Source organism: Homo sapiens, chromosome 22 (assembly GCF_000001405.40).
Source record: "Homo sapiens chromosome 22, GRCh38.p14 Primary Assembly".
Lineage (NCBI taxonomy): Eukaryota > Metazoa > Chordata > Mammalia > Primates > Hominidae > Homo > Homo sapiens.
The window spans coordinates 20,672,000-20,688,002 of NC_000022.11; the positions used below are offsets into that span (position 1 = coordinate 20,672,000).

At 41.2% G+C, this 16,003-nt stretch overlaps 1 annotated feature.

Moving 5' to 3' along the window:
- Window positions 14,943-15,163: a silencer, noted in NCBI's record as "fragment chr22:21041230-21041450 (GRCh37/hg19 assembly coordinates)". NCBI's record gives its function as "represses an EF-1alpha promoter that drives an FKBP-Casp9 reporter gene in an ReSE screen in K562 erythroleukemia cells {active_cell/tissue: K562}" and the evidence as "EXISTENCE:reporter gene assay evidence [ECO:0000049][PMID:32094911]".

The following is a 16,003-nucleotide window of genomic DNA, read 5'->3' on the forward strand; positions in this document are numbered from 1 at the left end:
ACACTACTATAATCCCAGCTACTCAGGAGACTGAGATACAAGAATCATGTGAACACGAGAGGCAGGGGATGCAGTGAGCTGAGCCGAGATCACGCCACTGCACTCCAGCCTGGGCAACGGAGCGAGTGAGACTCTGTTTCAAAAAAACAAAACCAAAAGCATTGTATCATGATATGTGACTAAGCTGAATTTAAAACACTGTAACATAAACTAGATGAAAAGTATTATACAAAATTTTTCTTTGTATTTCTATTTGTTTTGAATTTACCAACAATTCAAATCTTGCTGAGAATATTTGCACTATAAATATTTCTGTGATTATTGGTTATATTCAAATTCGCTCATTTTCAAAGCTACCTGTATAAAATTATTAAAATTGTACATAGCTTGGAATAAGAGTATGTTGAATATAATTGCCATGTGATACATTTATATTTAATAATTAAAGGCATATTACAACACTTACGCCTCATCTTAATGTTACTTAACCTTAGAAACAGAGTAAATGATAGGAATAATATGGGAGACAAACTGTGGAAAGCCACATTCTGTATATCTCTGTTGTTTTTATTAAACTTTTTTCCTACTGCACTTTAAATTTGTCATAGACCATTATTTTAGTAATTATTAATGTAATCTTACGTATGTATATTCTCTACCATCTTAGCAGGTTGAATAAAATACATGATTAAAGGCAAAAATGTGTGCAAGGAAAATATAGAATATTTAAGTTACAAAAAGCTACTCTTACTGAATCTCTTAAATTACAGCTTATAGCTAAAGAGTACAAACTATTGTAAAAGTTTTCTCCCATTTGTAAGTAATTACACATATAAAGTATCTCCCCATTCAGTAGATCTTATATTTCTTTGAGAAACATATATTAAATATAAAATATTCTGAATTCTAAATTGCATTTAAAATTGTTCATCATTGGTTATATTATGTAATTATAAGCAAGTACATTTAATGACTACATACTGTAAACTTTCTTTACCACGTGGCACAAATAGTTAATTTACCTTTTTTTTCTGTCTCTGTCTTCTATGTCCTAGGCTATTTCAGTTTTCTCACGAGTAGCCATTATTTTCAATGAACTACCAAAAAGTTATAAGGCAGCCACGATCAAACAAAAATGTTAGTAATATAGTATAGTATAAAGGTTTTTTATTTCTTAATTTATATTCCAAATTGTTAAATAATTTTATCATCCAGTCTTGATGTCTGAAAACATCTTAAAATAGAGAAGTTCACAGTATTAGATGCTGTATCTTTCTTCATCTAATGACAAAAGACTTTAGTTCTTTTCTCAATTTTAGGAGAAGTTTTGCTTTAAGACCAATAAAAACATAAGTTTACATAAGCTGAGAGCACGTTATGTATAGCTACTCTGTGGAAAACATTTTATTTTAAGAGCTATTAGGAACATCTTTTGAGAATATTCAAGCTATATATGATGCTGCAAATTTATTTTTATGGTTGCTATAACTGGCAAGGCAAGCAGATGATATGCTTGAAGCTATCTCGTGATGAGCACATCTGAGGGAATAAAGAAGGGCCTTCACAAGAAGAGGGAGGCAGCTGGTACATTCAGTAATGCATCATGAACACCAATGCAGTGGCTCCTGAGAAAGAGTCAATATAATACCTGGATTCCTTGTTTCTATCTCATATGTAATCCAGTTTCAGGGAAGTATAAAAGTGACAGGGATGGGGAGAGTATATGAACCATTAATATGAAATCTAAAGAAGTGCAGGCATCCAGCTGTCTGGTGTCTACTGAGGTCGTTCACCCAGATTAACAATACAGATACTTAGTTAAATTCTGAACTGCAGATAATGGGAAAGTAGGATTGTGGAAATCGGCTCCATCCAAATTATTACTCAGGTCTCCTCCTCTTCCAGATGCTGTCCCCACAGTATACTCAAGGTGTCTGATGACAGTGATGAGCAACTGAGGAATCATTTAATTACCAAGTTCTTCATCCTTACTTAAAAATGTAGAGTCACAAAATCATATATGAAAACACACTCTTTTTTTTTTTTTTTTTGAGATGGAGTCTCTGTTACCAGGCTGGAGATACTCTTTTTCAATAGAGTATGGCCTTCTGTCCACTCTCCTCTTATTCTTTCCAGAGTAGCAAGGTGTCCTTACGGCATACATTTAGCATAAAATTAGATGGGTTCCATTATAAAATAAAATGGAGACAGAATAAGTCAATACTGAATTCTTTGGTAAATCAAGCAAAGTCTTTAAAAATTTTTCTAGAAAATGGATTTATTTTTGTTTTTATTTAGTGTTTGTTTTATTTAGTTATTTTTAGTTTTTTTGTTTGCTTTTGCTTCATTGTTCTGCATTGCTAACTCGTTAAAATCACAAGCTATCTTATTGTATATTGAGTGTATTTGCAAGAGCTGTTTAGTGTTTTCTTCCCTAGTGAACCAACATAACGATTATTCTGCTATGAGTCTATGTTACGAAATATGTCTATGTCCTGCTATTCTCAGGCTTCATTTTTGCCTCTAAATCCTTCAGGTACTGTTGTTTTGGGCAGTGTAATGGATGTTTCTTCTTTTGTTCTTTCTGTGCCTTGAAAATTTCAGTAAGGAAATAAACTGGTTGTCAAAAACACCTGTTTGTTAAAATTGGAATCAGACTTTTTAAAGAAGAGATATACTTGGTTTCCTTGGCTAAATATTCAAAAGTTAATAGGATTTTTTTCATAGTATAACATAGTTTCAAAAGTTAAACGTAATTGTATTTAGTTTTATTGAATACCTACTTGTGTGGCATATTACATTTATTTTTGTTAATATTAAATTTAAACAATTTTAAGTATAAATTATTATATAGTGTGCAAATGTCTTTTTCATATAATGACTTCTTTTTCTCTGGGTATATACCCAGTGGTGGGATTGTGGATGAAATCTATTTATAGATCTTTAAGGAATCTCCATACTGTTTTCCATAGTGGTTGTACTAGTTTACATTCCCACCAGCAGTGTAAAAATGTTCCCTTTACACCATATTCATGCCAACATCTGTTGTTTTTTTATTTTCTTAATTGTGGCTATTCTTGCAGGAGTAAGGTGGCATCTCATTGTGGTTTTGATATGCATTTCCCTGATAATTAGTAATGTTGAGCATGTTTTCATTTGTTTCTTGGCCATTTGTGTATCTTCTTTTCAGAATTGCCTAGTCATACCCTTTGCCCACTTTTTGATGGGATTTGTTTATTCTTGCTGATTTGTTTGAGTTCCATGTAGATTCTGGATATTAGTCCTTTGTCAGATGAATAGTATGCAAAATATTTTCTCCTAATCTGTGGGTTGTCTGTTTACTCTGCTGATTATTTCTTTTTCTGTGAAGAGGCTTTCTAGCTTAATTTGGTCCTAGCTACTTATCTTTGTTTTTGTTCCATTTGCTTTTGAGTTCTTATTCATGAAGTCTTTGCCTAAGCCAATGTCTAGAAGAGCTTTTCTAATGTTATATTCTAGAAGTTTTATGGTTTCAGGGCTTAGATTTAAGTCTTTCATCCATCTTGAGTTGATTTTTGTAAAAAGTGAGAGATGAGGATCCAGCTTTTTTCTTCTACATGTGGTTTGCAAATTATCCTAGCACCATTTGTTGAATAGAATGTCCTTTCCCCACTTTGTATTTGCTCTGTCAAAGGTCAGTTGACTGTAAGTATTTGGTTTTATTTCTGGTTCTCTATTCTGTTCCATTTGTCTATGTGCCTATTTTTATACCAGTACCATGCTGTTTTGGTAACTCTAGCCTTGTAGTATAGTTTGAAGTTGGGTAATGTAATGCCTCTAGATTTTTTTTTTTTTTTTTTTTGCTTAGTTTTACTTTGGCTTTGAGGGCTTTTTTTTGGTTCCATATGAATTTTAGGGTTGTTTTTTCTAGTTCTGTGAAGAGTAATGATGGTATTTTGATGAGAATTGCATTAAATTTGTAGGTTGCTTTAGTCAGTATGGTCATTTTCACAATATTGATTCTACTCATCGATGAGCATGGGAGGTGTTTGCACTTGTTTGTGTTGTGTATAATCTCTTTCAGCAGTGTCCCTTAGTTTTCCTTTTAGAGATCTTTCATCTCCTTGGTTAGGTATACATTCCTAAGTATTTTATTTTTTGCAGTTGTTGTAAAAGAGGTTGAGTTCTTGATTTGATTCTCAGCTTGGTCATTGGAGGTGTATAACAGTGCTACCTCTGATTTGTGTACATTGATTTTGTATCCTGAAACTTGGCTGAATTCATGTATTAGATCTAAGAACTTTTTGGATGAGTCCTTAGGGTTTTCTAGGTATACAATCATATCATCAGTGAACAGCAGCAGTTTGACTTCCTCTTTACCTATTTGAATGCCCTTTGTTTCTCTTGTCTGATTGCTCTGGCTAAAATTTCCAGTACAATGTTGAATAGAAGAGGTGAAAGTGGATATCCTTTTCTTGTTCCAGTTCTTAGGCGAAATGCTGTAGATTTTTCTCTGTTTAGTATAATGTTGACTATGGATTTTTCATAGATGGCTTTTATTACCTTGAGGTATGTCCCTTCTATGCTTTTTCTGATGGTTTTAATCATAAATGGATGCTGGATTTTGTGAAATGGGTTTTTTTGCATCAATTGAAATCATATTTTTAAATTTTTAATTATTTATATGTGATTAATTACATTTATTGACTTGCATATGTTAAACCATCCCTTCATCCCTGATATGAAACCCACGTGATCATGGTGTATTATCTTTTTGATATAATGTTGGACTCAGCTAGTATTTTGTTGAAGATTTTTGCATCTATGTTCATCAGGGGCTGAACTATAGACCTACAGAGTCTGAACTATTGGTCTATAGTTTTCTTTTTTTGTTATGTTCTTTCCTGGTTTTGGTATTAGGGTGTTACTGGCCTCATAGAATGATTTAAGGAGGATTTCCTCTTTCTTTATCTTTTGAAATCATTTCAGTAAGATTGGTACCAATTCTTCGAATGCCTGATAGAATTCAGCTGTTAATCCATTTGGTCCTGGACATTTTTATTGTTGGCAATTTTTTTTACTATTGTTTCAGTCTCACTGCTTGTTACTTGTCTGTTCAGTTTCTTTCTCTTTTTTTTTTCCACGTAGGATCTCGCTCTGTCGCCCAGGCTGGAGTGCAGTGGCACAATCTGAGCTCACTGCAACCTCTGCCTCCCAGGCTCAAGTGATTCTCTTGCCTCAGCCTCCTGAGTAGATGGGATTACAGGTGTGCACCACCACACCCAGCTAATTTTTTTTATTTTCAGTAGAGACAGGGTTTTAACTCTGTTGGCCAGGCTGGTCTCAAACTCCTGGCCTCAAGTGATCTGCCCACCTCAGTCTCCTAAAGTGCTGGGATTACAGGTGTGAGCCACTATACCCAGTGCAGTTTCTATTTATTTGTGTTTTAATCTAGGAGGGTTGTATATTTCCAGGAATTTATCACTCTCTCTAAATTTTCTAGTCTGTGCACATAAGGGTGTTCATAGTAGCCTTGAATATATTTCATATTTCTGTGGTATTGGTTGTAATATTTCCCATTTCATTTCTAATTGAGCTTATTTGGATCTTCTCCCTTTTTTTCTTAGTTAATCTCACTAATGGTCTATTGATTTTGTTTATCTCTTAAAAGAATCAGTTTTTTGTTTCATATATCTTTTGTATTTTTGTTTCAATTTTATTTAATTCTGATCTTTATTATTTCTTTTTTCTTCTGGGTTTGGGTTTGGTTGGTTCTTGTTTCTCCAGTTCTGTGAGGTATGACTTTAGATTGTCTATTCATGCTCTTTGATGTAGGCATTTAATGCTATGAACCTTCCTCTTAATTTTGCTGTATCCCAGAGGTTTTAATAGGCTTTGTCACTATTATCCTTCAGTTCAAACAATTTTTTAAATGTTGCATAACAATGTTTATTTAGTTTTACATTTGTTTACAATTTCTTATAAACACTTTTCGTTATAATTTTATACAAACAACAGTAGGAGAAACAAGGAGCTAGAAAACATTAGAAAGTTGAGATTTGGAGGGAAGAATTTTAAAGACTGGAAGTACTAGAGGGAGAGAATCTAGAGAATGAAGGAGGCAATACTTGAAGAGATAACACAATGTTCCAAATTTGTTGGTAAAACATGAATTCGTAAATTCAGGAAACACAATATATACCAAACATATATTTAAATAAAATCCAGGCCTAGACTCAAGGTAGTAGTAAATGACAAGATACCAAACACAAGATTTTAAAAGCAACCATGGGGAGAAAAAGATCATCAATGAAGGCAAGACAGTCAAATCGTAGGCTTCGTAACAGCAACAGTGTACCCAAACAATTATTTTATTTATTTATTTATTTTTTGAGATGGAGTCTCGCTGTGTCGCCCAGGCTGGAGTGCAGTGGCGCAATCTTGGCTCACTGCAAGATCCGCCTCCCAGGTTCACGCCATTCTCCTGCCTCAGCCTCCCACCTAGCTGGGACTACAGGCACCCGCCACCACACCTGGCTAATTTTTTTTTGTATTTTTGGTAGAGACGGGGTTTCATCGTGTTAGCCAGGATGGTCTCGATCTCCTGACCTCGTGATCCGCCCGCCTCGGCCTCCCAAAGTGCTGGGATTATGGGCGTGAGCCACCGCGCCTGGCCATATTTATACTTTTTTAATACCACTAGGCTCAACCCGTATGATATTTTTTGCAGCAGCTTTCTTGAGATGTAATTCACATACCGCATAAATCGCCCATTTAAAATGTACAACCGAGCGGTTTTTAGCGTATTCATAGAGTCGCACATCACCACAATCAATTTTAGAACATTTTTATCACCCCCCAAAGAAATCCACATCCTTTAGCCGTCAACCTCCAATCCTTCCATTTCTCTGCACCTAGGCAATGTATAATCTACTTTCTGTCTGTATAGATTTGGGTACTCCGGATGTTTCACGTAAATGCAGTCATGCGACACGTGATCTTGTGGCTGGCTTCTTTCACTTAGCGCCATGTTTTCTAGTTTCACCCGTTTTCAGCATGTGTCCGTCCTTTTCCTTCTTTTCAAAACAGTTTTATTGAGATGCCATTCACATACCATGCAGTTCATTCATGTAAAGCATCTGTAATTCAATTGCCTTTAGAATATGCACAGTTACGTAGCCATCACCACAATACATTTTAGAACATTGGTATCACCTCAAATTCCTTTTTATTGCCAAATAATATTCCACTGTATGGATATACCACGTTGCATTTATCCACTGGTGGGCATTTTCACTCTTAGAATATTATAAATAATGTTGCTATGGATATTCGTGCACGAGTTCTTGTGGGGACATATGTCTTCATTTCTTTCAAGTATATACCTAGGAATGGAATTAATGGGTTATATGGTAATTCTATGATTAAGCTTTTGAGGAACTGTCAGACAAGCCATGTGATTGATTGATTGATTTTTAAAGACAGGGTCTTATTGTATTGCCCCAGCTGGTCTCCAACTCCTGAGCTCAAGCAATCCTCCTACCTCAGCCTCTGAATGGCTGGGGCTACAGGCACGTGCCACTGCACCCAGCTGCCATGTGATTTTTTTCTTCCCAATTTTCTCACTGAACATTAATCATGTGTATTTTCATGAATGGTTAAGTGTTCTTTGAGCATGTGGCTTTTAACATTTGCTTTTAACATTTAACATATCCAAATTTTAGTTGGCCAATCCCCTGTTATTGGGGACACTTCCAATTTTCATTATGATAAACAGCATTTCCATGGGCATCTTTTTTTTTTTTTTTTTGAGACAGAGTTTTGCTCTTGTTGCCCAGGCTAGAGTGCAATGGTGAGAACTGCAGCCTCCACCTCCAGGATTCAAGTAATTCTCCTGCCTCAGCCTCTTGAGTAGCGGGGATTACAGGTGTGCGCCATCATGCCTGGCTAATTTTGTATTTTTAGTACAGCTGGGGTTTCACCATGTTCGTCAGGCTGGTCTCAAACTCCTGACCTCAAGGGATCCAGCCACCTAGGCCTCCAAAAGGGCTGGGATTACAGGTGTGAGCCACTGCGTCCGGCCCCATGAGCATCTTTAGGCATCAATCTTTTATGCATCTCTGGTTATTTCTCTAGAGCACATTAGTCAAATGATTGTATCAAAGGGCACAGGCAGTTTTGAGGCTCTCAGTGCATGATGATATATTGCTTTCCAAAAAGGCTGTGCCCGTTTGCATTCTCAAAAGTAGAGTGTGCACCCCTCCTTATATTTTAATAGTTTCCTGAGGTCATCAGAACATGAACATGGGGAGGGCAGGGACTTGCTTGGGCATCTTGGATACCATGCCCAGTTGAATGTGCAGTACTTAGTAGGGGTTTGTGTGACAGGAATGAGTGAGAGCACATGAAGGCCCAGATGAGTGCAGGGTCCGTGGGGCACAGAGGAGGGTACAGGTGTGTGAGCACCGTGTGGACTTAGCACACGGCTGACGTGAGGACTCAGTGCAGACACAAGTGGTAACAAGGCCTCGTGAATCAAAGAGCTCCTCAACCTGGAGGTCGAAGCAGCTGATTGGAGATGAGGAAGCCACACTCCAAGGTCACTTAGGGACAGACGCTGGCAGGGCTGATCTGAAGACTGGCAGCAACTCCTTTTTATACTCCACTCTGCAAGCGCCAGTCTTTATGCAGAGTTCTGGAAGAATTCCCTTCACTGAGCTAGCAAGGCCATCAAACTCTGCGTTCACCTGGATATCCTAAGGAGACACCCATTACAAGGATGAACTTTGTTACTATCTGAGAACTTCACCATTTTTCACTCACACACGCAAGGTCTCAGAGAAGCTCCTTCGGGCGGCTTCTCCCCTGTGGATGACAGTCTCATACCCGCAAACTAGTAAGATCCAGGAGAGAAGGGGACAATGGGGGATGTTTAGAGGCCTGCTGTATTTATTTATTTAGAAATGGGATCGTACTGTGTCACCAGGCTGGAGTGCAGTGGCTCAATCGTAGCTCTCTTCATCCCTGAGCTCCTGGACTCAAGCTATCTATCCTCTTGCTTAAGCCTCCAGAATAGCAGGGACTACAGGTGCCCACCACCATGCCCGGCTATGCTGTATTTCCAGATCTGGGGGCTGGTTACATAGACACCTATGCTGTTTGTGAAAATTCTCCAAGCTCTATGCTTAATCTTTGTGCATTTTTCAGCATAGATGTTGTTCCTCAATTAAAAACAAAAAACCAAGGGGTTGTGAAGAACAGAACTGGCACTGATGGAGTCCTTCTCTGTGCAAGGCCTTTCCCTTAGGTCTGTCATCTCAGCTTATGTTCATGATGGCCTTGCGGGGTAGACGTTAGCCCCATTTCACAAAAACACAAGTCTGAGCCCAGGGAAAGATTTTCCTTGAACTATAAGTCTTCAAAACTATTTCCCTCAAAGCTCAGAATAAAATCTGGGCTAGTCAGATTATACTAGTGATAACAGATAACAACAGTTAAGGAATAGAAGGTAGAATATTCAATTCAGGCTAATTGTTTTTCTTTGTTTTTTTGTTTTTTGGGTTTTTTTGAGGTAGAGTCTCGCTCTGTCACCCAGGCTGGAATGCATTGGCATGGTCTCGGCTCACTGAAACCTCCGCTTTCTGGTTCAAGCAATTCTCCTGCCTCAGCCTCCCGAGTAGCTGAGGTTACAGGTGAGCACCACCACATCCAGCTAATTTTTCTTCTATCTTTTACAACACAGAGTTTCACTCTTGTTGCTCAGGCTGGAGTGCAATGGCACGATCTCGGCTCACTGCAACCTCTGCCTCTGGGTTCTCCTGGAGGTGATTCTCCTGCCTCAGCCCCCTGAGTAGCTGGGATTACAAGTGCATACCACTATGCCCGGCTAATTTTTGTATTTTTAGTAGAGACAGGGTTTCACCATGTTGGCCAGACTGATCTCGAACTCCTGACCTCAGGTGATCTGCCTGCCTCGGCCTCCCGAAGTTCTGGGATTACAGGCATGAGCCACCAACTCCGGCCAAATTTTTGTATTATTAGTAAAGACAGGTTTTGCCATGTTGGCCAGGGTGGTCTTGAACTCCTGACCTCAGGTGATCCACCTGCCTTGGCCTCCCGAGGTCCTGGGATTATAGGCGTGAACCATCATGCCCATCCCAGGCTAGTTATTGATTGATCGTTTATGATTCTTTGACTCAGAATCTTGTCCAGGATCTCACACTGATAGACACAGGATTTGGTCCCAACCCTGAACTGATTCCAAAGCCCATGGCATTCCCACGAGACTAGGGGCTTCTGATAATGACCATACATTGTGACAAGTAAGTGTATATTTGGGCAGGATAATGCCATATGACATTCTATTTCTTTTAGAATGACAGATCCAGTGCTGACAGGAATTCTCAGAGCAGCAGGCACATGGTTAAGGCAAGAACAGGCCATTAGAAGGAAATGGTAAGGACGTTTGACATCGGTTGTCCCAAACCTGAAGAATTGAAACTACACAGACACATTTCTGGAAAGGCTTTCACTCAAGTCTGGGTTGAAAAAAATCAGGGTTAGAATCAGCACTGATTTGTAACTCAATTTTTTTGTTTCCTTCCCTTTTTTTTTGAGATAGAATCTGGCCCTGTTCCCCAGGTTGGAGTGCAGTGGCACAATCATAGCTCACTGAAGCCACAAACTCCTGGGATCAGGTGATCCTCCTGCTTCAGTCTTCTGAGTACCCGAAACTACGGGTATGTGCCACATGCCTGGCTAATTTTTTAAAAAGCTTTTTGTAGAGATGGGGATCTTGCTGTGTTGCCCAGGATGGTCTTGAACTGTAGGCTTCAAGGGATCCTCCCACCTCAGCCTCCCAACATGCTAAGATTATAGGTGTGAGCCATCTCACCTGGCACTTTTTCTACATTAAAAAATCAAAATTCACCAGGCGCAATGGATCATGCCTGTAATCCCAGCACTTGGAAGGCCGAGGTGGGTGGATCACCTGAGGTCAGGAGTTCGAGACCAGCCTGGCCAACCTGGTGAAACCCTATCTCTACTAAAAAAAAATATCAAAAAAAAAAAAAAAATCAGCCGGGCGTGGTGGCACACACCTGTAATCCTGGCTACTCAGGAGGCTGAGGTAGAAGAATTGCCTGAATCTGGGAGCCGGAAGTTGCAGAGAGCCAAGATAGCACCACTGCACTCCAGCCTGGGCGACAGTGAGACTCTGTCTCAAAAAAAAAAAAAAAAAAAAAAATCAAAATTGACCCAAGACATGAGAGACCATGGCACAGGATCACTTGAGGTCAGAAGTTTGCAACCAGCCTGGGCAACATAGCAAGCCCCCATCTCTAAAAACTTTAGCCAGGTATGGTGACCTGTACCTGTACTTCCAGCTGCTTGGGGAGCTTAGACAGGAGAACCACTTGAGCCAAGGAATTTGAGACTGCAGTGAGCTACGATCACACCACTGCACTGCAACTGGGTGACAGAGTGAGACCCTGACTCAAAAAAAAAGTGGCAAAATTGAATGAAAAGGGATCCTAATCTCTCTCACAGCCACTCAAGTGAAGCTTCCAGCACCACAGTCCACCTGCAGACAGTCAGGGGAGGGGCAGAGGGCAGCCTTGCAGGTGCTGCGCCTGCAGATCGAAACCTCAGTGGATAGGGAGCATCATGCCCAGACCTCCACTTATCCTCTCTCAGCCAATGAAGAACCCAGGCAGGTGCCCCAGGTGAGATCCCATGGAACCAGCAGTCTGGAGTTCTTGTGGGGACATATGTCTTCATTTCTTTCAAGTATATACCTAGGAATGGAATTAATGGGTTATATGGTAATTCTATGATTAAGCTTTTGAGGAACTGTCAGACAAGCCATGTGATTGATTGATTGATTTTTAAAGACAGGGTCTTATTGTATTGCCCCAGCTGGTCTCCAACTCCTGAGCTCAAGCAATCCTCCTACCTCAGCCTCTGAATGGCTGGGGCTACAGGCACGTGCCACTGCACCCAGCTGCCATGTGATTTTTTTCTTCCCAATTTTCTCACTGAACATTAATCATGTGTATTTTCATGAATGGTTAAGTGTTCTTTGAGCATGTGGCTTTTAACATTTGCTTTTAACATTTAACATATCCAAATTTTAGTTGGCCAATCCCCTGTTATTGGGGACACTTCCAATTTTCATTATGATAAACAGCATTTCCATGGGCATCTTTTTTTTTTTTTGAGACAGAGTTTTGCTCTTGTTGCCCAGGCTAGAGTGCAATGGTGAGAACTGCAGCCTCCACCTCCAGGATTCAAGTAATTCTCCTGCCTCAGCCTCCTGAGTAGCGGGGATTACAGGTGTGCGCCATCATGCCTGGCTAATTTTGTATTTTTAGTACAGCTGGGGTTTCACCATGTTCGTCAGGCTGGTCTCAAACTCCTGACCTCAAGGGATCCAGCCACCTAGGCCTCCAAAAGGGCTGGGATTACAGGTGTGAGCCACTGCATCCAGCCCCATGAGCATCTTTAGGCATCAATCTTTTATGCATCTCTGGTTATTTCTCTAGAGCACATTAGTCAAATGATTGTATCAAAGGGCACAGGCAGTTTTGAGGCTCTCAGTGCATGATGATAAATTGCCTTCCAAAAAGGCTGTGCCCGTTTGCATTCTCAAAAGTAGAGTGTACACCCCTCCTTATATTTTAATAGTTTCCTGAGGTCACCAGAACATGAACATGGGGAGGGCAGGGACTTGCTTGGGCATCTTGGATACCATGCCCAGTTCAATGTGCAGTACTTAGTAGGGGTTTGTGTGACAGGAATGAGTGAGAGCACATGAAGGCCCAGATGAGTGCAGGGTCCGTGGGGCACAGAGGAGGGTACAGGTGTGTGAGCACCGTGAAGGCCAGCTCCATAGGACTTAGCACACGGCTGACGTGGGGACTCAGTGCAGACACAAGTGGTAACAAAGCAGAATGGTGCAGACTGTGGCAAGTTGAGAACTTATGCCTCTGTAAAGGGGGCAGCCACCACTCAGTTACTGCAGATTACTCTATCTTTGCTGAGGACAGTTGCACAGGTAGTGCACTGCAGAAGGGTAACACCTTAGAGGGATGTCATTTGCATCATAGATGCAAAATTCACAGGCAAAGACTGATGTAGTTTGTCCCTAAAGTTTTGCTTTGATTTGCAGATATTTATCCATGGCAGTTTCGTGAAAAACGTCTATAGAAGGTTTTGAGGAATGGGCACCTTTTAATTTGCTACTAAACTAAACCCCAAGGGCCCATTATATGCCAGCGTGGTCCTAGAGATTCCACACTCATTCAGTTCCTTTTCATCATAGGAAGTGGGCATTATAATATCAGGTCCACTATAAGAGCTGGAGGCTGGGCATGGTGGCTCATGCCTGTAATCCCAGCACTTTGGGAGGCCTACCTGGGCAGATCGCGGGAGCCCAAGAGTTTGAGACCAGGCTGGACAACACGGTGAAACTCTGCCTTTACAACACATACAAAAAGTTTAGCCGGGCTTGGTGGCATGGCCCTATAGTCCCAGCTATTCGGGAGGCTGAGGTGGGAGGATCGCTTGAGCCTCGGAGGTCAAGGCTGCAGTGAGCCCAGATTGCACAACTATACTCCAGCTTAGGCCACAGAGCAAGACCTTGTCTCAAAAAATAAAATAAAATAATAAAAAGAAAGAAAGAGAAAGGAACAGATCAATAGGTACAATAAAGTAATATTTGTATAAAAAAAGCAAAAGAACATATTTATTTATTTGGATATTTGTTTATATTCATAAACTATCTCTAGAAAGATACCAAGAAATTGAATCTATTTGGTTGTATCTGAGAAACTGCAGGAATAGGGACAGGGTTGAGATGATGCCTTCTGAATTTTGAAATATACAAATGTATTTTCTACTTAGAAATAAATGGGCCGGGCGTGGTGGCTAGGCCGGGTGCGGTGGCTCTCGCCTGTAATCCTGGCACTTTGGGAGGCCGAGACTGGCAGATCACTTGAGGTCAGGAGTTTGAGACCAGCCTTGCCAACATGGTGAAACTCCGTCTCTACTAAAAATATGAAAATGGCCAGGTGCGGTGGCTCACCCTTGTAATCCCAGCACTTTGGGAGGCTGAGGCGGGCGGATCACCTGAGGTCAGGAGTTCAAGAACAGCGTGACCAACATGGAGAAACCCCATCTCTACTAAAAATATAAAATTAGCCTGGTGTAGTGGCGCATGCCTGTCATCCCAGCCACTCAGGAGGCTGAGGCAGGAGAATTGCTTGAACCCGGGAGGTGGAGGTTGTGCTGAGCTGAGATTGCGCCATTGTACTCCAGCCTGGGCAACAACAGCGAAACTTTGTCTCACAAAAAGAAACAACAACAACAACCACAAACACACACAAAAATTAGCTGGGTGTGGTGGTGGGTGCCTATAATCCCAGCTACTCAGGAGGCTGAGGCACGAGAATTGCTTGAACCTGAGAGGCGGAGGTCGCAGTGAGCCAAGATCAGGCCACTGCACTCCAGCCTGGGCAATAGAGCAAGACTCAATCTCTAAATAAATATATAAAATAAATAAATAATATTAAGACAAAACTCATAAGGACATTACATAAACCAAGTTATGCCAGTGATTTTTTTAAAATATCAAAACAGGCAGTTTTATAGAAAAATATAACTTCAGGCCAGGTGGGGTGGCTAATGCTTGTAATCCCAGCACTTTGGGAGGCCGAGGTTGGCAGATCACCTGACCTCAGGAGTTCGAGACCAGCCTGGCAAGCATAGTAAAACCCCAACTCTACTAAAAATACAAAAATTAGCTGGGTGTGGTAGAACATGCTTGTAACCCCAGCTACTTGGGAGGCTGAGGCGGGAGAATCACTTGAACCTGGGAGGCGGAGGTTGCAGTGAGCCGAGATCGCGTGACTGCAACAGAGAAATTCTGTCTCAAAAGAAAAATATAACTTCATAAAAACAAAGTAGGGAGAAGCAGAAAAGTTTGTCTAGATCTAGAACCATTAAAGGAATTGAATGTTTATTTTAAAATCTGTATCCCGGCCGGGTGCGGTGGCTCACGCCTGTAATCCCAGCACTCTGGGAGGCCGAGGTGGGCGGATCACAAGGTCAGGAGATCGAGACCATCCTGGCTAACACGGTGAAACCCCATCTCTACTAAAAATACAAAAAATTAGCCGGCCCTGGTGGCGGGTGCCTGTAGTCCCAGCTACTCCAGAGGCTGAGGCAGGAGAACGGCGTGAACCCGGGAGGCGGAGGTGGCAGTGAGCCGAGGTGGTGCCACTGCACTCCAGCCTGGGCAACAGAGCAAGACTCCGTCTCAAAAAAAAAAAAAAATCTGTATCCCATCCCCTCAAAAATCTCACAAAAAAACAAAACCAAAGAAAAGCACCAGGCCCAGATGATTTTATGGACAGCAAACATTAAAAAGAACATAAAGTTTTTATCTTCTACATAATTTTTAAAAATTAATTATTTATTTTTGACAGGAAGTCTCGCTTTGTAGCCCAGGCTGGAGTGCAGTGGCGCGATCTCGGCACACCGCAACCTCCGCCTCCCGGGTTCAAGTGATTCTCCTGCCTCAGCCACACCAGTAGCTGGGACTACAGCCGCGTGCCACCATGTCTGGTTAATTTTTGTATTTTAGTAGAGACAGGGTTTCACTATGTTGGCCAGGCTGGTCTCCAACTCCTGATCTCGTGATCCGCCCGCCCCAATCTCCCAAAGTGCTGGGATGTGTGAGCCGCCACGCCTGGCCACTACTTTTTCTTTTCTTTGTGTGTTTTTTTTTTTTTTTTTTTTTTTTTGGTGTGTGTGTGTGTGAGATGGAGTTTCCCTCTTGTTGCCCAGGCTAGAGTGCAATGGTGCGATCTCAGTTCACTGCAATCCCCGCCTCAGCAGGAGAGCAGGAATCTTCAGTGATCCACTGGCGGATCTGCAGCCATTGTGCGCGCCAGGTCTTCCCAAGTCTTTTGTGCGCGCGCCTCTCCTTCCAGTACCTATCAAGCCAGCGTCCCCTAGCCTCCCG